General features: G+C 52.5%; 1 protein-coding gene and 1 long non-coding RNA gene across 4 annotated transcripts, besides 10 other annotated features; one reads left to right on the top strand and one right to left on the bottom strand.

The window, feature by feature from the left end:
• Positions 7,791-8,306: an enhancer, noted in NCBI's record as "H3K4me1 hESC enhancer chr20:48814993-48815508 (GRCh37/hg19 assembly coordinates)". NCBI's record gives its function as "activates a minimal SCP1, AML or CMV promoter by ChIP-STARR-seq in primed H9 embryonic stem cells {active_cell/tissue: H9 hESC(primed)}" and the evidence as "EXISTENCE:reporter gene assay evidence [ECO:0000049][PMID:30033119]".
• Positions 8,307-8,824: an enhancer, noted in NCBI's record as "H3K4me1 hESC enhancer chr20:48814475-48814992 (GRCh37/hg19 assembly coordinates)". NCBI's record gives its function as "activates a minimal SCP1, AML or CMV promoter by ChIP-STARR-seq in primed H9 embryonic stem cells {active_cell/tissue: H9 hESC(primed)}" and the evidence as "EXISTENCE:reporter gene assay evidence [ECO:0000049][PMID:30033119]".
• Positions 12,664-13,225: an enhancer, noted in NCBI's record as "H3K4me1 hESC enhancer chr20:48810074-48810635 (GRCh37/hg19 assembly coordinates)". NCBI's record gives its function as "activates a minimal SCP1, AML or CMV promoter by ChIP-STARR-seq in naive H9 embryonic stem cells {active_cell/tissue: H9 hESC(naive)}" and the evidence as "EXISTENCE:reporter gene assay evidence [ECO:0000049][PMID:30033119]".
• Positions 14,072-16,179, bottom strand: CEBPB (CCAAT enhancer binding protein beta). Of its 3 annotated transcripts, none has more exons than NM_001285878.1 (1): positions 14,072-16,179. In NM_001285878.1, exon 1 carries the CDS (start codon positions 15,657-15,659, stop codon positions 14,691-14,693), a length of 969 nt encoding a protein of 322 aa, NP_001272807.1. In that variant the 5' UTR covers positions 15,660-16,179; the 3' UTR covers positions 14,072-14,690. The 3 variants fall into 2 exon arrangements, with proteins under 3 accessions (NP_001272807.1, NP_001272808.1, NP_005185.2); NM_005194.4 differs by having other exon boundaries at positions 14,094-15,932.
• Positions 14,590-14,699: a silencer, noted in NCBI's record as "silent region_13018". NCBI's record gives its function as "represses an Ori minimal core promoter by ATAC-STARR-seq in GM12878 lymphoblastoid cells {active_cell/tissue: GM12878}" and the evidence as "EXISTENCE:reporter gene assay evidence [ECO:0000049][PMID:35858748]".
• Positions 14,693-22,159, top strand: CEBPB-AS1 (CEBPB antisense RNA 1). Its single transcript, NR_125739.1, has 7 exons — positions 14,693-15,098; positions 15,340-15,494; positions 16,477-16,764; positions 17,201-17,306; positions 18,135-18,219; positions 19,635-19,749; positions 20,342-22,159. It is a non-coding gene; the product is annotated as a CEBPB antisense RNA 1 (long non-coding RNA).
• Positions 15,120-15,559: a silencer, noted in NCBI's record as "silent region_13017". NCBI's record gives its function as "represses an Ori minimal core promoter by ATAC-STARR-seq in GM12878 lymphoblastoid cells {active_cell/tissue: GM12878}" and the evidence as "EXISTENCE:reporter gene assay evidence [ECO:0000049][PMID:35858748]".
• Positions 15,700-15,909: a silencer, noted in NCBI's record as "silent region_13016". NCBI's record gives its function as "represses an Ori minimal core promoter by ATAC-STARR-seq in GM12878 lymphoblastoid cells {active_cell/tissue: GM12878}" and the evidence as "EXISTENCE:reporter gene assay evidence [ECO:0000049][PMID:35858748]".
• Positions 15,700-16,030: a biological region, named in NCBI's record as "Sharpr-MPRA regulatory region 92".
• Positions 15,736-16,030: a silencer, noted in NCBI's record as "tiled region #92; HepG2 Repressive non-DNase unmatched - State 1:Tss". NCBI's record gives its function as "represses a minimal TATA promoter and a strong SV40 promoter by Sharpr-MPRA in HepG2 cells {active_cell/tissue: HepG2}" and the evidence as "EXISTENCE:reporter gene assay evidence [ECO:0000049][PMID:27701403]".
• Positions 15,990-16,399: a silencer, noted in NCBI's record as "silent region_13015". NCBI's record gives its function as "represses an Ori minimal core promoter by ATAC-STARR-seq in GM12878 lymphoblastoid cells {active_cell/tissue: GM12878}" and the evidence as "EXISTENCE:reporter gene assay evidence [ECO:0000049][PMID:35858748]".
• Positions 20,078-20,167: an enhancer, noted in NCBI's record as "active region_18084". NCBI's record gives its function as "activates an Ori minimal core promoter by ATAC-STARR-seq in GM12878 lymphoblastoid cells {active_cell/tissue: GM12878}" and the evidence as "EXISTENCE:reporter gene assay evidence [ECO:0000049][PMID:35858748]".
• Positions 22,160-23,566: the final 1,407 nt, after the last annotated feature.

Here is a 23,566-nt window from a genome sequence, read left to right as displayed (position 1 = left end):
GCCCAGCTGCTACTTTCTACCAGGGCCCAACAGGCGGGAAAGAAAAGGCAGATTCAGACCCTTCAGCATCACCCAGGACTTGAGGAAGGGAGTCCACATTGCACAAATGGGGTTTTGCCGCCTAAGACTTGTTTTTTTCTGCGTTTACAAGGGTTCAAATCAGTGCCGTTGGAGAGTGTTTGAGGCTGTCACAACATCTGGGGAACTGAGGCGTGGGGCATTCACATGGCTGTCAGGAGGAGGCCTTGGGCTCAAATTGTAGGGGGCGTGGGATCTTAAACCATCATTGGCAGCCAGACTGATGGGCAGGGTAGTGACACACTAAGATCCTGTCATCTTTGCTAGGCTCTGGTTTTATGGGATCTAAGGTTTTCCGTGGTTCTAGTTCCAGGTGGAGAGTGACAACTAACTCTGGCATGTTGCACATTCTCAGTAAATGAATTGTGGAGTAAATTCCTTGTGATGATAATTGATATTTATTGAGCATTTACTATATGCCAGGCAGTATTCTAAGCACTTTGCACCTATCATCTCCATTAATCCTCTCCACATCTTGTGAGATAGGTACTATTATTACCATCATTATTTTGTAAACAGGAAACTGAGGAACCGAGAAGTTAAGCCACATGCCCAAAGTCACAAGTTGTTAAGAGGAATATAAATGAATGAATGAATGAATGAATGGCAGTCCCTATCTAGATTAGCATTTTTCTTTTAAACATTACTGAAGCGAAAGTCCAGTTGCAACTCTTCTTGGGGAATAACAATCCAGCCCAAGCTCCCTGACTCCCTGTTCTCTCCAAGTCAGCCTCTCTCCTTCTCATTGCTTAAGGGGAAGTGTCCCCCATCCTGAGCCTGAGGTAGCTCGAGCTCCAGCCTTAGAAACACAAAGACCTGGGGCCCTAATGTGATGGGGACCCTATCATGTCCCAAGATCGCACGCATGTAGCTTCCTTTAGTTGTATATAGGCTCTTTTGGCCTGAAACAGTTCCTTTCTCAGTCTCTCCTTGACCCACATGACCTTGACATGTTCGAGGATGCAGGCCAGCTATTTTTTTTTTTTTTTTTTTTTTTGAGACGGAATCTCGCTCTGTTGCCAGGCTGGAGTGCTGTGGTGCAATCTAGGCTCAGCTCACTGCAACCTCCGCCTCCCGGGTTCAAGCAATTCTCCTGCCTCAGCCTCCCAAGTAGCTGGGACTATAGGTGCAGGCCACCATGCCTGGCTAATTTTTGTATTTTTAGTAGAGATGGTTTCACCATGTTGGCCAGGTCTCTATCTCTTATCCTTGTGATCCACCCACCTTGGCCTCCCAAAGTGCTCCTCACTTCAGATCTCTCGGATGTTTCCCGTGATTAGATTCGGTCTCCGTGTCTGATATATATTTGCAGGGATACAGCAGAAGTGATGCTGTGTTCCTGATATATGGTCTGTCATGTACTGAGGGCTTACTTTTCACCAAGACCCACAATGCACAAAAGTCAAGGATGTGACAAGACCTATTGCATAGATGAGGAAACTGAGGCTCAGGAAGAAGAGGTCACTAACTCCAGGTCAAACATCTAAGTGACAAAGCTGAGATTTAGACTCACATCCATCCAACTCATGAGCCCTATAGGGAGATCACGAAGGAACGAGGGACGATGAGGAGGAACGGCCCGGCATAGGGCAGGGGGCCTTAGAGAGTCAGCCTCAGTTCATTCCATGATCACAATCTCACTACCTCAAAAATGCAGATCTCTGATCCTTGTGGGGTGGCTGAGACCAGGGATATCTGGCCCTATTAGTGACATTAAGACTCTGCAATCCCGCTCCTGGGTAAATACACCAGAGGCACTCTGAGAAGACCATTAGGGGGCTGATAAACACAAAGATGTACCACCTAGGTCTCCTTCAGGGGAGAACCAGCTGCAGGGAGTATGATGAGGTGATGAACTCCAGCCACCAACAGCTGTCCCAGCTGCAGAGAGCCATCTCGCCCCAGCCATCCTTCCCAGGGCAGCCCGAAAGCCAGACAGACCAAGGCAGGGTGTAAAGGTCTGGCCATTTTGCCCAACACAGGGCACCCAACAAGCAAGTTCCTCTCCGGTGCTCCCAAGACTGCTCAGGGCTCTGCAGGCCTGCATCGCTGCTGGATGACTTCATCTGCCCAGTCCTTCTTGCACCCCCTCCATTTCTCAGGTGTTGACCCCCACAAACATCTTGCACTCCAAACTCCATTTCAGTATCCACACAACCTGCCCTGTGACAGAGGTACATTCAACAATGCTTGTCAGAACAGTGTTTATGGCTGTGGGGACTTAGAGGCAAAATCATTGTCCACCACAAGGGCAGTGGTTCCTTAAAATGTGGCAGATACATACAGAGGAATGTTATGCATCAGCATAAAAAGTAATGAATCAGAGGGACACAGAGCAACCTGGAGGCATCTCTCAAGCCTATTCTTCCAGGAATATATGCTGCACTCATGTAAAATGTGACCTATTGGATAGAATTGTCTGTTGCAGCATTGTGTGAAATAGAAAAAGACTGGAAACAATCTAAATGTCCATCAGAAAGAGACTGGTTAAATAATTATGGTACATCCATCCAATGGAATATTATACAACCATTAAAAGGAATGTGGCAGCTCTATAGTACTGATATGAACAAGCTCCAAGATACATTGTTGAGTGAGAAAAGCAAAGCACAGGTCAGTGTAAAAAATGTGCTACAGTGTGCATAAATATCGTGTGTGTGTGTGTGTGTGTTTGGGTGCACTCACATAGACCATTTGAAATAAGAAAAAGCTGCTGGAAACTTCAGTAACCTCTGGGAGAGGGATCTGGGAATGTGGGGGCAGGAGTGGGAGGGAGACAGACTTTTCATTGCAAATCCATTCACACCTTTTGAATTTTGAACAATGAGCACATATTATGTATTCAAATTGAAAGGAAAAATGTATAGAGGCCATGGTGAAGTTGATCTGAGGCCATCCATAAGAAGGGTGGCATAGTGTGGGGCCAGAGACTGAACAGGGTAAGGAGGGTGACCAATCATGGAACAGAGGTGGGGGGACAGTGACAGCAAACTGGTTACATATAGGGGATGGGTCAAATAAACAAATATATTAAGAATAATGGAAGCCTATTTTCTCACTGATGGAAAAGAGAGTTTCAAATATGGAAAGAGAAAATTAGAATAAACTCTGTGATGCTGAATGGGAACTGCAGTTATCAGTGTACACTCATTTTTCTAAATAGATGATAGATGATAGACAGATAATAGTTAGATACAGAAATAACACAGCTGTAAATATGTGTCTCTATATATACATATATACAGTCCTTAACTCTGTCCACTGAGAGAGTCAGGCAGTGGAGACACCCCAACAGCAATGAGCACTTTGTCCTGAGATTTTGGCTTCTAAATTCCATTCTCTACTAAAAGGAACCAGGGCTCCTGGGAGAAGTGGCTGATTCCAGAGCTGGGGGCAGAAAAAATACCAGATGAGCTTATAGTACCTCACTGTGCCAGAAAGTAAGAAAATGCTCAAAGAATGATGGTGACACAGAAGCTAGTTAAAAGTGGCTCCCAGGAGCCAAATCTGGGACAATTTAAGCATATAAATAAGTTAACAATGATGATGATATACCACAACCCACTGAATAAAATAGAAAACTATGAATCTATACTGACAGAAATAAATGAATAATTGAAAGTCTGATGACATTCAAGAAATTCACACAGTTTCAGCGTGCCTCCTCTCAAATGCTGATTAACTACAAAGAGCGGGGAAAGTAACCCTACAGATGCGAAGTCTGGCAGCTATCTCCTCAATCAAGTCATCAAAGAGTGCACCATCAGCAATGGGACGAGGAGAAGAACATAACATCGCTTCTTTGATTTTTCTGCCAGAGCTGCAGAACCTGAATCTCACCACAATGAAGCATCAGACAAACCCACAGGGAAAGACATGCTGTAATGCTGTACAACAGCTGCCCTGTATCCTCAAAAGTGTCAAGGTCATGAAGGTCAAGGAAAGACTAAGGAACTGTTCTACCTTCAAGGCAACTAGAGAGATGTGGAACTAAACAAAACATGTGGCCGGGCGCGGTGGCTCATGCCTGTAATCCCAACACTCTGGGAGGCCAGGGTGGGAGAATTGCTTGAGCCCAGGAGTTCCAGACCAGCCTGGGCAACATAGTGAAACCCTGTGTCTACAAAAAATACAAAAATTTGCCAGGCAGGGTGGCACATGCCTGTAGTTCTAGCTACTCAGGAGGCTGAAGTGGGAGGATCGCTTGAGCCCAGGTAGTTGGGGCTGCAGTGAGCTATGATCACACCACTGTACTCCAGCCTGGGTGACAGAGTGAGACCCTGTCTCAAAATAAAATAAAATTAAAAATAAACACAAAGTATGATCCCAAACTGGATTCCCTTACTGGATGTTATCAGGGCAACTGGTGAAACCTGAATGGGTCTTGGTAGACAGTCATGGTGTATCCTGTTAATTTCCTGATTATGATGGTTATATTGTAGCTATCTAGGAAAATGCCCTGGTTTGTAGAAACTATGTATCAAAACATTAAGGGGTGATAGGGCAACAGGTCAGCAATTTATTCTCAAATAATTCAAGAGAACCAATTTGAGACGTTTCTCAAACTAAAAAGTTTTTTAAAAATACACAGTAAAAAAGTAAAAAACAGAATGAGAGCTAAGTTTCAATACCATTAACAGGAATTAAAACATATATTTTTAGATTTCTGATGGCTTAGCAAGCCACTTCTAAGTGAAATATGTGAATATGTTCATCAAAAGACATGTCCCCTCGCTGGGTGCGGTGGCTCACGCCTGTAATCCCAGCAGTTTGAAAGGCCAAGGCGAGTGGATCACCTGAAGTCAGGAGTTCGAGACCAGCCTGGCAAACATGGTGGAAGCCCATCTCTACTAAAATTACAAAAAATTAGCCAGGTGTGGTGGTGGGCACCTGTAATCCCAGCTACTCGGGAGGCTGAGCACGAGAATCACTTGAACCTGGGAGACAGAGGCTGCAGTGAGCCAATATTGCACCACTGCACTCCAGCCTGGGAGACAGCACAAGTCTGTCTCAAGAAAAAAAAAAAAAAAAAAAAAAGACATGATCCCTCAAATATTCATCTCAGCCCAATTCTAAAGAGCTCAAAACTGGTAACAACCTGAATGTCCATGAGGGATCGAATGGGTAAATCCATTGTGGTGTGTCCATGTAATGTCATTTTGCTCAGTAATAAAAAGGCATAAATACTGATACACACAACAACTTGAATGAATGTTAGTTACAATACTTAATAAAAGAAGCCAGACATAAACAGCATCTATTGTGTGATTTCATTTCTATAAAAGCATAGAAACAGGCAAAATTAATGTTTGCTGTTAGAAATCAGAATAATGATTACCCTTAGGTGTGGAAGAGGGGTGGCTAGAAGGGACACAAAAGGCTTCAGGGGTGCTGGAATGATCTCTTCTTGATCTGGACACTGGTGGGTCAACACCAGGAAAATTCACAGAGCTGTATATCTGTGTTATGTGCACATTGCTGTGTGTGTATATTTCACTAAGAAAGAAAGAGAAAAAAATGTGATGCACGGGAAAATAGACTAAAGCGCAATGCAGGCTTTGCAAGGACTGATGACAATCGTGTCCTAAGAACTGGAAAGCATAATTAGCTCTGCATCTGACCTGCAAGAATAAAAGCAGGAAAGGGTCCCTGTTGTCCCTTTGTCCCTCACCACCCCACAAGAGGGTCAGCCAGGCGAGCTTGATGACTGGTGCCATGTGGCATGAGAGGACTGAGGCCTGGCTGGAGTCAGGTGCCCCAGGCTGCCCTGACCCCCACCCCAGTTCTCTCTCCTCCACAGCCTGCTGACTCCCACCCACCAGCCTCTCTGAGGAGTCTTCCTCCTCCTTGGCCACCCCTGTCCCTGCCAGGGCTCCAGGGCTAGGGCAGGGATCTGATGACAGCTATAAAAATAAAAGTTCACCCGGCCCGGCTCCCTGGCCTCCAGACTCACCTCCCAGAGATCTCAGCTGGGCTGGCCCCAGGAAGGCTGGCAAAGGTGCCTCCCAGCCCTGGCAGGCCAAGGCCTCAGTGGAGCAGGTGGTGGCGGGCAGCATGGGTCAGAAGGGTTATTCAGGGTGGCATGGGGCATCTGGTCCCAGCGCAGCTGCCAACAGGCTCTGTGAGCTGCAGCAGGACCTGACCATCTCTGTTTCCAAACGGAGGAGTCCCTTAGTGGATCACATATGCAGGCTAGGGCTACAAAATGCGGAGCTCACTGAGGTCAGCAGAGAAATTTCTGTCCATTTCAAGGGCTTGGTTCAAGCCTGGGCTGAGGCACACTGAAATTTCAGAGTCATGAGAGAGAGACACTTGAGGACAGGCAGGATATTTTCATGACAGGAGGTCTTTGTGCATTACTTCTGTAATTAAAATGAATAAAAAGAAATCCTTCCACCACATCTGATGGAAATTCTTTTTCCTAAGCAAAGCGTGCATTTCTGTGCTCATGTGCAATAGTGTCCGTAACAAGGAAGCACTGGTGCATGATGAAAAAATGCAGGTCGTGAAAGAGCTCACACAGGTTGATTCCGTTCTGGCAAATATATCAGTTAGAAATAGACTCAGCTGCCAGTAACAGGAAGCCCAAACGACAGAGACCTCAGTAAGCAGAGATTTCTTTCTCTCATGTAAACAAGCCCAGAGCAAAGCAGGTAAAGACTGGTGCGGCTGTTCTACCACCATCAAGAACCCCAGTGCCTTTTGTCTTTCGGATTCACCATCCTCAGCATGTGGCTTCCATGCTTCAGAGTTTGCCTCATGATTCAGGATGGCCCCTGGAGCTCTGGCCATCACATCTGAGTTCCAGGCAGGAAGTAGAAAGAAGCAGGGGCTGGGAGGTGGCAGAGAAGGAACACAAAAGGGAATGTGCCTCACAGCCGAGTCAACCCCCTTTAAAGAGCTTTCCCAGAAGTCCCACCTACAGCTTCTATTTAATCTCACTGGTCATCCCTAGCTGCAAGAGAAGCTGGAAACTGTAGTCTCTTAGTAGGGTACTTGCCCCCCCAAAATAGAAGGATCTCATTGGTAAGAAAGAGGGAGAGGAATGAGTATTGGATCGGCCACTTTAGCCACAATGAGGAAAAATACACATGGAATGAAAATTCTGGAAGTTAACAACTTACCCTGTGTGAGTTAACCTGTCAAATCTTTGCAAAACACTGTGAGGAATTTTATGATCTTCTTATTACAGATGGGGGAACTGAGGTCCAGCAAGATGCATTCACTTGCCTCAAACTACAGAGCTAGAAAATGGTGGATTTGGGCCAGGCGCGGTGGCTCACGCCTATAATCCCAGCGCTTTGGGAGGCTGAGGCGGGCAGATCACGAGGTCAGTTCGAGACCAGCCTGGACAACATGGTGAAACCCAATCTCTACCAAAAATACAAAAATTAGCCGGGTGTGGTGGCGGGCACCTGTAATCCCAGCTACTTAGGAGGTTGAGGCAGGAGAATTGCTTGAACCCAGGAGGCGGATATTGCGGTGAGCTGAGATCACGCAACTGCACTCCAGCCTGGATGACAGAGCAAGACTTCGTCTCAAGGGGGAAAAAAAAAAAAGAAAATGTTGAATTCAGAACACCAGCATTCCAATTCTAGCATCTAAGCTCCTAACCCACCAAAATGGTAATGATGATATGAATAATGATGACAGCTAATACCTACTGTGTGTGGCACTGCTTTAAATTTGTTGTGTTATCTCACTTAAGCTTCACAACAACCTTATGAGGCAGGTACTATTAATTATTCCACTTAATAAACAAGAAAATGGAGGCACAGAGAGGTGAAGTAACTTGCCCAAGGCCACACAGCAAGTGTTAATGGGTTTATTTCTGAGTAGTGCTCTTTATTTCCTTCTTTTATTTATACTCTGCAGTCTCTGATCCTCCCATCACAATCATGCATTACTTGGGAAATCAAATAAAAAGCAAACACCCCCGCAGAGGTCCTGTCTCCTGCCTGTCCCCAGTCCCTCACCAATCCCACCCTGAAGACCCCTCCCTCTCCAGCCTTGCCTCTCTCCCCACAAGGGTTGGTGCCCTCTCCCCTGCAGTCAGGGCTACCCAAAGAACTCTCCCTCTCTTGGCTCCCGGCCCTGGCTCCTCCAGCGCCCCTCCTGGTGAGCCCTCCCCTCATTCCTGCCCGATGAACTGCTCCCCGTGGCTCCAGGCCCTGGGTCACAGGCTCCTCGCCTACGAGGTCTCCTGGGCCCGGGCAGGCCTCCCTGTGCCCTTCACCGACTGCACTTTACCTCATCCCGAAGGCCCAGGAGCCTATTTCATTCCCTCCACAGGCTTGTCAAGGCCTTTCTGGGTGCCACACCTGGCAGGGACACCCACTCTCTCATCCTCAAAGCCACCTCACAGCCCGCCCAGCCTCCAACACCCTGCATGAAAGATGTGGCCTACCCCTCCCCGCTTTCTCCATCCTCCCCTCCCCCACTCCAGCCCTGCATGAGGAACACTGTGCCCTCCCCATCCTTCCCTCCCCCATTCCACCCATGCATGAGGAACCCTGTGCCCCCATCCTCCCCTCCCCCACTCCACCCCTGCATGCGGAGCCCTGTGCCCCCATATTCTTCCCTCCCCCACTCCACCCCTGCATGAGGAACCCTGTGCCCCCCCATCCTTCCCTCCCCCACTCCACCCATGCATGAGGAACCCTGTGCCCCCATCCTCCCCTCCCCCATTCCACCCCTGCATGAGGAACCCTGTGCCCCTATCCTCCCCTCCCCCGCTCCACCCCTGCATGAGGAACCCTGTGCCCCCATCCTCCCCTCCCCTACTCCACCCCTGCATGAGGAGCCCTGTGCCCCCACCCTGCCCCACCCCTGTCCTCTTCTTCCCCACTCCTCCCCTTGCTGCCTCTGCTCCAGCCATGCTGGCTCCAGGCTCTTCTCCTCACACGGAGCTGGGCCCTGCCTCGGGGCCCTTGCGTGTGCTGTTCCCCCAGCCTGGAAGGCTCCCTACGCGTTCCCCCCCAATCACCCTCCTCCACTTCCCCCACCTTATTTTCTTCAGGGCCTTTATCACAATCTGCAATGGGCTTGCCAATCTGCTAGCCACACATTGTCTCCTCTACCACAATGACAGCTCCGGGGGTCAGGGACCATCTTGGGCTCACAATGGGTGCTTGCTCGACACTGGGTGATATCTGTACTCCGTGCTCACAGGTGAGGAAGCCCAGGTTCAGCAAGGCTAAGTGCCTCAACCAAGGTCACTCTGCAACCAAGGGACAAGGCCCAGAGCTCTTTTGCTCAAGCATCCTACCCCTCAGAGGTGTCTAATTGTGTTCTTCCCGTGTCTCTTCCCCAGAGCAGTCAACCAGACAGAAAAGTGGCTGAGCTTGGGGCTCAGGCAGGCCTGGATTCAAATCCCAACCTTGCTGCTCTTGGGACAGGAACTGTCCCCTCTCAGAGCCTCGGGTCTCCTCTCTGTAAAATGGAACTCTTTCCTTTCTGTCTCGGAAGACACCTGGGAGGGGCTAACACCACCAGCCCAGAAAGCCCCTGGCTTCCCCAGCCCACTCTGGCCTCTCCTGGGTCTGCCCAGCCCAGGCCTCCCTCACTACCCTGCCCCGGCCAATGCACCATCAAAAATCCCACAGGGAGCGGGGACTGCTGGGACGCCATCACAGGCCACGCAGGAGATTGGCCAAGCTGAGAAAGAACTCAGGAGGGGGTGGAAGGGCAGGACAGGAAAACAGCAAAGGAGAGGCTCAGGGCCATGGGGGAAAACAGGCAGAGAAGGCCTCTCAGGTTCAAATGCAAGGTGAGAATTCAAACCTCACATCAGCCACTCACCAGCTCTTGGACCGGTGACTTCACCTTTCTGTGCCTCATTTTCCCCATCTGGGGAGGGGGAGTAATAAGTAGCACCCATGGCCGGGTGCAGTGGCTCAGGCCTGTAATCCCAGCATTTTGGGAGACTGAGATGGGCAGATTACTTGAGGTCAGGAGTTCGAGACCAGCCTGGCCAACATGGTGAAACCCCATCTTTATGAAAAACACAAAAATTAGCCGGGCATGGTGGAGCAAGCCTGTAATGCCAGCTACTTGGGAAGCTGAAGCAGGAGAAGTGCTTGAATCCAGGAGGCGGATCTTGCAGTGAGCCGGGATCATGCCACTGCACTACAGCCTGGGTGACAGAGTGAGACTCCTTTAAAAAAAAAAAAAAAAAAAAAAGCACCTACATCATTGGGATTTTAAGAATAAGGCATGCAGGACACCAGCAGGTGCAAAGTGAGCATCCAGTAAACTGCAGCCCACCATACTCCTGACTCCCTGGGCTCAGGGGTCTCTGCTCAGATGCCACTTCCTAGGAGGGGCCTCGCAGGACCGCTCCCACTCACCTCTGCCCCACTTTCCTTCCTGCAGAGCCCTTGACTCCATCTGCCATTATCTTGTTCCAGTCACTGGATACTTAGCATCTGTGTCTCCCTGAAAATTATCACCTCCATCTTGGCCACCACATGTCCCCAACACCCAGTAAGGGGCCTAGCACACAGCGGGTGCTCAATAAATGTTTGTCAAATAAATGAAAAATATAACTGGGCAAAAAAACGACTGAGAAACTGGGAGAAAACAGTCTCAGAGAGGTCTGGACAAAACTTGGAAGGCAGGGGAATATTCTTTTTTTTTTTTTTTGAGACAGAGGCACGCTCGCTCTGTCGCCCAGGTTGGAGTGCAGTGGTGCGACCTTGGCTCACTGCAACCTCCGCCTCTGTGATTCAAGTGATACTCATGTCTCAGCCTCCTGAGTAGCTGGGACTACAGGCACCCACCGCCACACTAGGCTAATTTTTGTATTTTTTTAGTAGAGACCATTTTGCCCGGGGTTGGTCTCAAACTCCTGACCTCAAATGATCTGCCGTCCTCAGCCTCCCAAAATGTTGGAATTACAGGCGTGAGCCACCTCGCCCAGCCTGCAGGGAAATATTCTTCAGGTGTTCAGAAGGAGCAGTTCCCCTTCTCACTCCCACTCCAGCTTCTGCCATTCTTAGCTGTGCAAACTTAAGACAGGTCAGTTCACCTCTCTAAGCTGGTTTGCACAGCAGCAAAATGCTAGTAACAAAAGCTGCAGCCTCCAAAAGGCTAATGAGTTGATTAAACCAAGGAGCACAGTGTCAGTGTGGAACCGGCACCCAGCAGTGTCTCGAGCGTTCATTTCTGACATCCACTTATCTCCTTGCTAAAATCACCAGGCCGTGGGACAATTGCATAAGATTATGAGGTGTGAATGTGTCTTGTTTTGTGAACTCTCTTGTCCTGAGCAAACATTAGTTGGGGTTCCAGGCTCCCACCTCCCAGCTAGCCTCAGTGGTCAAACACACTAAATGGGTCTGTGGTTAACATGACCGGCTTTCTCCCACATATCTAAGGACCCAGCACCTCCCTCTGTGCCAAGGGCTTGGAGTGGTGCTTTGCACATCTAAGCCCTTGTCTCACACCTGCTATTATCATGATTCCTCAAGGCTCGTCCCTGGCCTCCTGGGCTCGCCTCACCCCATCCCACCCCCTCCTGTTTCTGGATGTCGGAATGGACTGGTTCCTCCCTGCGAGCCCTTCACCCTTGCAGCTTGGTGAACTGTGGGGTTGGTGTTGCCCTAACTATGACATCTCCCCAAGTCCTTTGGGCACAGCTCCGTCCACAGTGCTCCCATACCAAGCCACCGTCAAAGCCCTCAACCTGTGAACTGCTTCTCCCAGCCCTCCTTAGAGGCAGCCCAAGGGGTTCAGGTTCAAATTCACTTTCTGTTGCTTCCAAACTGTGAAACTGATGTTTGCAGTTCTGGGGCTTGGAGTGCCTGAACTTGAGGTCAGGCAAGGAGCCCTCCAAGAAGAGCCTGGGATTTTAAACAGGAACTGGGATTACAAACCAGGCTCCCAGCCCCAAACTTTCCCCATAGACTTGGGAGTCGGATGGTTTTGTAACCTGCTCCACCTAGCCCACCTTGAGCACAAACCTCACTTCTGTGGACCTCAATGTGTGCTTTTAGAAATGGGTCTAGCACCTTCTGTGGGGTACTGTGGATGAGAGCAAGATGTGAGTGTGTGAAGAACTGACTCAACGCTGGTTCCAGGACAGCACTGGGGAAACAGAAGCGAAGCTGTGGGGCAGACGGGGGCGGAAGAGGGGCACCGTCTGGCCAGGCTGCTTCCCTCTCACCTCATTTGGGTGAGCAGTGGCCACCAGCCAACTCTTGGTGACAAAGGAGGGAGCAGGGATTTGAGATTTGTTCCTCAATTTCGACCCTCTCCACCTCCCTCCTTCCCTAGGTCCAGCCCCTCAGCCTCTGCCTTCAGCAAGTAAATCCTTGAGGTCAAGCCCACATTGCTGTCGCTGCTACTGACAGAAACCATCGAGACCAGTGGGGCTTGGGACTGAACTGACTTCGAGGCTTTGAAGGCATGCCCGGCCAGTTGTCCAGTTGCCCAGGGCTGGGAGGGGACGTGGTCAGGGCCACGCTGCAGGTCCCAGGTTGAAGTGAGGTTATCTGTGTCCAGCAATCTGCATAGCCCTCGAGCCACCATCAGGAGACACTGGCATTAGGGAGGTGGAGCTTATAGGAATCCTCCGCTTTGTGGCGGTGGGGGATGAGTGTCGCTGTCTGTTCCCCACATCCCAGGCTCCCACAGGGAAAGCACAACCAGGCCCCCAAAAGGAAAAGGAGGGGCAAAGCATTTCCCATTCGCGAACCACGGTATCAGCAACTGCTCCTGAGATCCCAGACCGCCCCAGGTCCTTGGCAAACCAGGCTACGATGCCTGCTGCCCCTGAATTCCTCAGGGCAGGGCAACCCCCAACCAGTGTCTTGCCCATAGGGATCGGACAGCCCAAAGCTGCTCCCCACCTCTAAAAACAGGCGTCATAACAATCCCCACCTTCCCAAAGGTTATTGTGAGGTCTAAATGGGATGGGGCAGGTCCAGTGTTTACCAGATGCCGGCCCCTGGCAAGTACTGGCCACACTGGCGCTGCACTGGAGACTGGGGTGCCAAATGCCAGCAGCTTCCCAGCAAAAAATAATAACAAGAGCAAGCGCTTATATAACACTTCTTGCGTGCCAGGCACTGTGGGACGCTGTACATGTATCCACTCACATCCATCTACATCCTCAACTCTCAGGAATGCCATCCAGGGCTGGATGGGAGTAGGGGGTGCGGTGAGAAGCCGGAAGGGGCAAAGGGATCAGTGGGCAGGGAAGAGGAGCCTGTCCCAGGGAATCAGGGCTAGCAGCCCCACGTTTGTGCCTGGGCTCAGCCACCTTGAGCAGGCAGGTGAGGTGGGCTCAGTGTCCAAGTCTGGGCAAAGAGAGCAAGTGATGAGCCTCCCATCCTCAGGAAAGGTAATCAAAGTGTGGGAACCCCTCCCCCACCTCTCTCCACCTGGCCTGGCCTCTCCCCTCCTGCTGGCCAGGGACACACAAACACAGACTCGCCCACACACCCAGGCTCCCCTCTTTAAAATACACATGTATACACAAACTGTGTTTTAAACAACCCACCCCACTACACTGACCAAAAGCATCTGCCCTGACTCGGGCTCAGCAGGACCAAGACCTGAACCCCCTCCTCCTACAGTCACAGGCCTGCCTACCTAGTCCCCAAACACAGGGCAGGGGTCACAGACCTCCCAGCCCTTCCAAACCCAAGCCTGACACTCGGGACCAGCCAGAGGCTCCGGAATCTCTTCTCAAGCAGGGTTCCCAGCCACCCGTCCCGGCGCCTAGGGGCTCTGAGTCAGCCTGAATGCCTGACCCATTACTCTTCTCCCCTTTCCCCCGGGGCTGGAACCCCATCTCAAGCAGACCCTGTGTGTGTGGGAGGGGGAGTAGCAGAGGAGGCAGAAAAACCAGCTGCAACACCCCCACCCAACCACCAAAACCTCCAAAAATAACAGCAGCCCCCCACACACAACCCCCTACACACCAGAAACGCAAAAACAAAATCCTACAAATCCAAAATAAAGTAAAAAAATAAAAAACAAAAGCCAATTACTGCCCCCAAAAGGCTTTGTAACCATTCTCAAAAAAAAGTTTATTAAAAGTGTTCTTAATGCTTGAAACGGAAAAGATTCCCAAAATATACAGACGCCTCTTTTCTCATAGAAATAGATTATTTTTTATAATACAAAAAAAGACCAAAAAACAAAACAAAACAAAACATCAACAGCAACAAGCCCGTAGGAACATCTTTAAGCGATTACTCAGGGCCCGGCTGACAGTTACACGTGGGTTGCGTCAGTCCCGTGTACACACGCGTTCAGCCATGTTTAAACCGATTGCATCAACTTCGAAACCGGCCCGCCCGCCGGCGCCTGGAGAGGGGCAGAGGGAGAAGCAGAGAGTTTATCATTCATCTGTACACATAGACGTTTCTTCTTTAAATAACACCACGGGCGGGAGCCCCATCTGCATGTGCGGTTGGTTTGGACAAAAATATAGATATATATATATAATAAAATATTAAAATTACCGACGGGCTCCCCGCGCTGCCAAGTGCCCCAGTGCCAAAGTTTTGCCGGCGCCGCCGGGGGCGGGGGCGAGGGCGCGGGCGCGGGCGCTCCCCGGAGTCTCAGCCCCGGCCGGCAGGGGGACGCGCGCGGGGGCCGCGCTAGCAGTGGCCGGAGGAGGCGAGCAGGGGCTCGGGCAGCTGCTTGAACAAGTTCCGCAGGGTGCTGAGCTCGCGCGACAGCTGCTCCACCTTCTTCTGCAGCCGCTCGTTCTCGGCCGTGAGCTCCAGGACCTTGTGCTGCGTCTCCAGGTTGCGCATCTTGGCCTTGTCGCGGCTCTTGCGCACGGCGATGTTGTTGCGCTCGCGCCGGATCTTGTACTCGTCGCTGTGCTTGTCCACGGTCTTCTTGGCCTTGCTCTTGACCTGCGAGGGCGCCGGCGCGGCCCCCGCGTAGCAGGCGGTCGGGGGCGCCTTGGCGTCAGCGGGGCTCGGCGTGCCGGGCGGGCTGGACGAGGAGGACGTGGAGAGGCTCCCGCTGCTGCCGCTCGGCACCGCCTGGTAGCCGAGGTAAGCGCGCAGCGCGTACGGGAAGCCCGCCGCCATGCCTGCGCCGCCGCCCGGCGCCCCGGCCTCCTCCTTCCGCTTGCAGTCCGCGGGCTCGAAGCCCGGCTCCGCCTTGAGCTCGGCGGGCGGCGGCGGCGGCGGGGGCGGTGGGTGCAGGGGCGCGAAGCAGCCGGGGTGCAGCGCGCCCTTGGCGGCCCCCAGGCGCCCCAGGCTCACGTAGCCGTACTCGGCCGGCTTCTTGCAGTTCTTGCCCCCGTAGTCGTCGGAGAAGAGGTCGGAGAGGAAGTCGTGGTGCTGCCCGGAGGAGGCGGGCGCGGGGGCGGGCGCGGGCGGAGCCGCCTCGAAGGTGTCCGTGGCCGTGGCGGGCGCCGGGGCCTGCGGCGCGCCCAGCGGCTCCAGGTACGGGCTGAAGTCGATGGCGCGCTCGTGGTCGCCGATGCTGCCCAGCTCGCCGGCGGGGGGGCGCGGCCCGGGTCTGGCCGCGGGGGGCGCCGCGGGGGCCGCCTTGCCGCCGTACGCAGCAGCCAAGCAGTCCGCCTCGTAGTAGAAGTTGGCCACTTCCATGGATTTAAAGGCAGGCGGCGGCGGCGGCAGGGGGAGACATGCTGGGTCCCAGGCCACCAGGCGTTGCATGAACGCGGGTGCCCGGGGAGGGGGCCTGGGGCTGCCCGCTCCGGCCGGCCCGCAGGTGGCGCGGCCTCCCTGCTCTGAGCTGTCGCCGCTGCGTCGCTGCTGCTGCTGCCGCCGCTGCCGGGGTGGCCGCTATTAGTGAGGGGGCTGGTGGCTGGACCCTCGGGTGGGTCCCCTTCCCAGTCCCGTGCGCGGCTCTGACTCGCTAAAGTTTCTCCTGAGCCCGGTTATTTATAAGGGCGGCCCGTAGCAACCGCTGCGTCACGCCGGCCCCTCCCGCCGCGCCGCCGGGACGCGAAGGACACGGCCGCGGCCGCCCGAGACCCCCGGGAGGACGGCGGCAGGGCGCAGCGGAGGGACCGGGCACCCGGAGCGCGTTTTCGGGGGGCCCCCGGGACGCAGGGGCGGCCTCACGCCCCCTGCCCACCCCCGCCCGGCCGCCCCGGGATTGGGAGCGAGAGGGGGCGGTGCGACCCCGCCCCCGGACCGCCCCTCTGGGCTGGAGGCTGTCCTGGAAGGCGGGGGAATCGGAGGAGGGGGCGACCTGATCGCCTTCCCCCCGAGACGCGGCCCCGGCCCGCCCCCTGCTGGAGGAGGCGGAGGTTTCAGGAGGGCCGAGCAGAGCCCCGACGGCCGACCAGGGTCGGCTCCCCGGGCCGAACCCTGGAGACCCCAGCCCGCAGCTCTAGCTCCAGGAGAAGCGACCCATCTCCGTGGCCCTTCCTCCCGTAAACTCCCACCTCCTCCCCAGGTCCCCGGCTTTAGAAAGAAGACTTGACGCCTGTGACGACTCCCCTCTTAAGCCACAGACAATATGAGGACCCCGGGGGTCGGCGCGACCGGGCAGGATCGCGCCCCGCTTGGGGCTGGACCCTGGTCCACGGAGCCCCGCCCCTAGCCCCGCCCACCACACCTGCCGCCTGCTCGAGGCTTGGACACGCCCGGGTCTTCTCTTGCCCCGCGCTGCGCCACCCGACCTGGGCCCTGGGATGGGGCAGGGGCGGGGGGTGCTCGGCCCTGCCACACTGTGTGACCTTGGGTGAGTCACTTCACTTCTCCCAGCTGCAATCCATGAAGGGTGTCGCTACTGTCAGTGGTGGTGGCATTGTTCCCACCAGACTCCCAAACCTAAGGCTTACGTTGTGGGCTGCACATCAGAGAGAACGGGACCCCCACGGATTGTGCCAGTGGAGGCCCAGAGAGAGCATGGCGTGGCATACCAAGGTCACATGGCCGCATGTCCCCCATTCATCCCAAATGAAATGCCCTCATCTGAGCCCTAAGACCTATTGCCAGTCCCAGAGGCCAAAAACTTCTGTTTCTGAAGTTGCTAGGGAGGGACTTAAGCGAGGCCTCACGGGAGGGGGTGGTATGCAGGAAAGAGAAGGAAAGAGAAAGATAAGTTTTTACCAAGTCCCTGCCCTGTGCTTACGGTGGGCCTGCACCCCGAGGTTCAACTTTTTTCACCCCACCAGGAAGATGCTTTTGCTGCTGCCATTTCACAGACGGGAAAGCGACAACGGCCCGCCTGGACTTGAACACAGGCCCAAGGCCTTCTGACCACTTGCCCGCCTCTGCTGGGTAGGCTCAGGTTAGAGGGCCCTTTGCCCTCCCGGACCCATTCCTAGGCCATTGGGGCAGCTCCCTGGGCCCACCTCTCTGCCACTCCTAGCCCAGGCCACCTAGGCAGGAGCTCCCAGCCTGCCCGGGGCTGATCCCCAGCCCACTGACCCCAGCCCTGGCCCCAGCGGGCAGGCGGGCATTGCTCAACCTTTGGTGTTATCTGCTGAGCTGGGGTGACCTCCGCCCCCAAGAGCTGGAGAAATGACATCTCTGGGCACCCTTGGTGGGTAGGAGGCAGGGAGGGAGGGGATAAAACACTGGCCCAGCCTGCTGGCTTTCTGGGTCTTCCCAGCAGCCTCTGGGTTGGGGAGGGATCAAGGCCCAGAGGGGTGCGGCAGCTTCCCTAGGGCCACCCGGCCAGCCCTTCCTCACTGCAAAATGGGACACTCAGGGCTGAGCTAGAGGCCACGGCTTCTGAGAGGCCCTCCCTGTCCCACCTGCTAGTGAATTTCCTTCCCTATCGCCAGCCACCATTATCCTAGCTGTCTACCTCAGTCTCCCTGCAGGCTGCCACTTGGGGAGGGCTGGCCCACGAGGGACTCCTGAGCACAGCACGCTCAACATTTACCAGTGAAGGAATGCATTTGCTGTTCCCTGTGCACCAAGAACACTGTCACCCCACCTCTGCCCAAGGCAGCTCCTCAGGTCTCAGCCCAAAAGCTGCCTCCTCCGGGAAACCCTCCCTGACCTTCCCATGGGAAGTCTAGGCCCTCAGTCACTCCTCTCACACCCCTGCTTCATTTCCGTCACCATTCTCATTATAATCAGAATTATCTTGCCTGCCAGTCTTGCTGTCTGTCCCCACGGCCTTCACTACTGTGTCCCTGGTGCCTAGAACAGAGCCTGGTACATAGAAGGTGCTCGATGAATGGTGAGTGAATAAATGGAGGAGGCTGAGAAGAAGGAGAGGTTCCTCGTTAGCTGGGCTGTGTGACCTTAGGCAAAATGGCTCCCCTCTCTGAACCAAAGCACTCGCCCACGTTCCCTTTCTGGATTCTGAAGAGATGCAGGGAGATATGGGGGAACTGAAGCTAATTGGAGGATTTGCTGTGTGTTCTTAGGCCAAACTTCCACCTTCTCTGAACCACATTCCAAGCTCTTTGCATGTATTAACTCATTTAATCCTACTGATAATTTGTAGGAGGCAGGTCTTTTTTCTTCTTCTTTTTTCATATTTTTCAATGTTTTGTAGAGATGGATATGTCTCACTCTGTTGCTCAGGCTTTTCTCGAACGCCTGGCCTCAAGTGGCCCTCTTGCCTCAGCCTCCCAAAGTGCTGAGATTACAGGTGTGAGCCGCTGCGCCAGGCCACAGTCTTATCATTATCTCCACTTTATAGATGAGGAAACTGAGGCCCAGAAGAGCTAAGTGTGTCTGCTCCAGGTCACATGAAAGGATGAGAAGGAATAAAATCTTTCCAGTCTGACTTTCCCTCTTGGGTTTGTCATAACAGGCCTGGCAATGTGAGTCCCATCTTCTGGATAGAAGAACTGAGGCACAGAGAAGGGTAGACCTGGGGTCACACAGTGCGTTAAGGTGTTACTCGGACCTTGCAGGCCAGCCCCCAAAGACCAGACTCAGCCCCAGCAGGGGTCTAGGCCCTCTGGCCTCTGGGGTGGAACATGCTTGCCACCCTTCCCCACCCTCCACCCCCTGCTGGGGATGACCCATCCCTTCTCAGCGCAGGTCCCACCCCGGTGCCGACCCAGGTGTCCTGCAGGGAAGCTGCAAGCTAGGATGACGTAAGCCCTTGTTTTTACAAGGCTCTTGCTCAACAGGCCCCGCCTGCTGCTCCCCCACCCCCACCCCAGTACTGTTCAGCCTTTCCCCAAGAAGTGGGGATGGTGGGAGCTTGAACCACCACGGCCCAGAGGCCCAGAGTACGTGAGTGGCTGTGTGGGCACAGGAAACCAGGATCCCCCTGGCGCCACCTCTCCCAGTCACCTGCCCTCAGAACCTAGAGCCGGAAAGGATCTCAAACTGGCAGCCAGTGGCCAAATCGAGACCACAGATGTGTTCAATTTGACCCCATAGCGTTTTGCTTGATGTGTGTGTGTTTAAGTGAATTTATTGCCAACATTTAAAAATCAGGAGATTTCACATCAAAATTCAAATTTCCAGCTCCTCTTTTAAAACCTGAAGCTGTGGGCTGGGCCCACGTGGCCACATGGTGGTGGGCAGGAGCCAGGCGGGGGCGGGGAGGGAACAGGCACTTTCCTACCTGGGACACACGTCCTCCTCTGCCCCCAAACTGCTTTTCACAATTCCTCCTCCCCATCTCTGCAGCTTTTCCCTATCCCATTTTCAAGAGGAGAAAACTGAGGCGATTTGCCAAGGGGAGATCCACGTGGCTGCTTTGACAGAGAGTGTTCTGCAAAAGGGCTTAGAAATCAGCCAGCAGGTGGGAAAATATGGCGGAGAGGTGAACCATCAGAACATGAATGGGGGGGTGTCTCTAGTGGGCGTGGGGCAGGGGGATGGCAGGGGGATGGCCTTTCATGCTGCCCTGTGCCTTCCATGCTGTGGCTCTCCGGCCGTGTCTGGTGTCCCCTCTGGGCCTCAGTCCCTGGTATATAAAATGAGGTGATAATATTCTATCTGGGATTCTGGGCCTGCTGTTACCCCTCACTGCTGGCCTTCCCCGACACATTAGAGTTAATCAGATGTCCCTTTCACCCCACAAAGCAGGCAGATGGGGAAACTGAGGCCCGAAGAGGATTAGAACTTCCTACTTCCCCCTCCAAATCCCCCTTGTACCCTTGTGAATGGGTACAAGAGCCAGACTTAAAAGCCAGATTCCCTGATTCCAATGTTTGAGATTTTCCCCATCATGCCTCCTCTCTGAGGCCTCAGTTTCCCCATCTGCCAAGTGGGGCTGGCAGAGATAGATCCCCAAGGGCTGCCAGGCTCCGAGGTTCTGAGATCCAGGATTTTGGAGACGGGAGGTGCTCAGGACCGGTAGTGAAACTTGCCTGAGTATATACTGCCCCCAGGTGGCAGGTTCTGGGACTGCAGGAGCCATTCACATGCGTGAAGATCCGCTGGGCGCCCTTGCTCTGGGATCAGGAAAGGCCGGTGCCATGGATGTGATAGATGCACACAGGGCATCAGCAGGCCGCCGAGAGGAACCAGAGTGTCCAACGAACAGAAAACAGTGCTCAACCTTCACATTTATCGAATGTTCCTTGGCACATGCTGTAATTCTGGCCCTAAAGACACATTCATGGACAAGACAAGCAATTCCTGTTCTCGTGGAGCTGAAATTCTCCTGGGGGAAGACAAGCACTAAACAAGATCAATGATTAAAGTATAGATTGTATTAGATTCTGGTCAGCACTATGGAGGAAAATACAGCAGGGGAGCAGAGCAGGAGTTCTGGGAGATTTGATTTTTTGTTTTCTGGGGTTTTTTGTTTGTTTGTTTTTTGAGACAGGGTCTCACTGCTGGAGTGCAGTGGCACGATCTCTGCTCACTGCAGCCTCTGCTTCTTGGGCTCAGGTGATCCTCCCACCTCAACCTCCCAAGTAGCTGGGACCACAGGGGCATGCCACCACACCCAGCTGATTTTTTAATGTTTTGTAGAGATCAGGTCTCATTATATTGCCCAAGCTGGGGGAGTTGATTTTAACTTTATGTTAGAGTAGTCAGGGAAGACCTCACTGAGGTGACATTTAAGCAAAAACCTGAATGTGGTGAAGCAGGTATCTGGGGGACCTTGGACCACACAAAGGGAACAGCAAGTGCAAAGGCCCTGAGGTAGGAGCACGTAGTTGTGGTGATGACGGAGAGTAGCAGGAATTTGTGTCATAGAAATAGTGGGGGCTGGCCAGGCACAGCGGCTCATGCCTGCAATCCTAGCACTTTGGGAGGCCGAGGTGGGTGGATTACTTGAGGTCAGGAGTCTGAGACCAGCCTGGCCAACATGGTGAAACCCCATCTCTACTAAAAATTAAAAAAAAAAAAATGGCCAGGCATGGTGGCGTGCATCTGTAATCCCAGCTATTCAGGAGGCTGAGACATGAGAATCACTTGAACCCGGGAGGCGGAGGTTGCAGTGAGCCGAAATTGTGCCTCTGCACTCCAACCTGGGTGACAAAGCAAGACTCTGCCTCCAAAAAAAAAAAAATGGAACATGGAAACATGGAATGGGAGAAAATATTTGCAAATCATATATCTGATAAGGGGTTCATATCCAGAATACATAAAGAACTGTTACAACTCAACAGCAATAAAAACAACTCAATTAAAAATGGGCAAAGGACTTGAATAAACATTTCTCCAGAGAAAACTGTGAATGGCTAATAATCACATGATAAGATACTCAACATCACTAACCATTAAGGAAATACAAACCAAAACTGCAATGAGGCGCAACACTTTGGTGGATCACCTGAGGTCAAGAGTTGGAGACCAGCCTGGCCGACACGGTGAAACCCCGTCTCTACTAAAAATACAAAAATTAGCTGGGCGTGATGGTACGTGCGTATAGTCCCAGCTACTTGGGAGGCTGAGGCAGGAGAATCACTTGAACCTGGGAGGTGGAGGTTGCAGCAAGCCAAGATCACGCCACTGCACCCCAGCCTGGGCAACTGAGTGAGACTCCATCTAAAAAACAAACAAAACGCAATGAGAAGAGAGGATTTTGAATGTTCCCGACACAAAGAAATGATAAACGCTTGAGGTAATGGATATCCTAATTACCCAGATTTGATTATTACACGTTGTATACATGTATTGAAATATCATTTTGTAACCCATGAACATGTACAATTATGTGTCAACTAAAAATAAAAGGAATAAAACACAATGAGATACCACCTTACGCCCATTAGGCTGGCTGCTGCGTTGGGAAGGATGTGTAGAAACTGGAATGCTTGTGTAGCTACTGTGGGAAATGGTATGGCTGTTCCTCAAAAAATTAAAAATAGAATTACCAAATGACCCAGCAATTTTATTTCTGGGTGTGTATCCAAACGAATTGAAAGCAAGATCTTGAAGAGATATTTGTACACTCACGTTCATAGCAGCCTTCTTCACAATAGCCAAAAGGTGGAAGCAATTAGCTGGGTGTGGTGGCGGGTGCCTGTAATCCCTGCTACTTGGGAGGCTGAGACAGGAGAATCGCTTGAACCTGGGAGGTAGAGGTTGCAGTGAGCTGAGATCGCACCACTGCACTCCAGCCTAGGTGACAGAGCAAGACGCCGACTTAAAAAAAAAAAAAAAAAAAAAAAAAGAGGTGGAAGCCACCCGTGTCCATCGATGGACGAATGGACAAAATGTGATGTGTCTGTACAATAGAATGTTATTTAGCCTTAAAAAGTAAGGAGATTCTGACACAGGCTACAACACGGATGAACCTTAAGGATATTGTGCTAAGTGAAATAAGCCAGTCACAAAAGGACAAATACTGCATGATACCACTTACATGAAGTGCCTTGAGTAGTCAGATTCATAAAGACAGAAAATAGAACAGTGGTTGCCAGGAGCTGAGGTAGGAGGAAGTTCTTGTTTAATGGATATAGAGTTCCATCTTTGGGAAGATGGAAAGAGTTCTGGAGATGGATGGTGGTGACGATTACCCAACAGCGTGAATGTCCTTAATGGCACCAAACTGTGCACTTAAAATGGTTAATATGGTAAGTTTTATGTTCTGCGTATTTTACAATTTGAAAAAAAAGGCCAACGTGGGCCAGGCGCAGTGGTTCACACCTGTAATCCCAGCACTTTGGGAGGCCGAGGCAGGAGGATCCCTTGAGCCCAGGAGTTCAAGACCAGCCTGGGCAATACAGTAAGATCTCTTTTTTTTTTTTTTTTTTTTTTTTTTTTTGAGACGGAGTCTCGCTCTGTCGCCCAGGCTGGAGTGCAGTGGCGCGATCTCGGCTCACTGCAAGCTCCGCCTTCCTGGTTCACGCCATTCTGCCTCAGCCTCCCAAGTAGCTGGGACTACAGGCGCCCGCCACTGCGCCCAGCTAATTTTTTGTATTTTTAGTAGAGACGGAGTTTCACCGTGGTCTCGATCTCCTGACCTCCTGATCCACCCGCCTCGGCCTCCCAAAGTGCTGGGATTACAGGCATGAGCCACCACGCCCGGCCTCTCATTTCTAACAAACAAACAAAAGATGGATCTTCACCTGTGGACAGAGAAAGATGTCCACTGGCATTGTGACTTGAGAGGCAACAGGCAGGGCAGGGGCCTGGTAAAGTCACGTTTGTCTTGA

The sequence above is a fragment of the Homo sapiens genome, chromosome 20 (genome assembly GCF_000001405.40).
Source record: "Homo sapiens chromosome 20, GRCh38.p14 Primary Assembly".
In the NCBI taxonomy this organism is placed as follows: Eukaryota; Metazoa; Chordata; class Mammalia; order Primates; family Hominidae; genus Homo; species Homo sapiens.
This window is presented reverse-complemented; position numbering and strand designations above follow the sequence as displayed.

Coding starts and splice junctions, on each gene's coding strand:
- CEBPB (NM_005194.4), bottom strand. CDS start 15,728: ATGCAACGCCTGGTGGCCTGGGACCCAGCATGTCTCCCCCTGCCGCCG.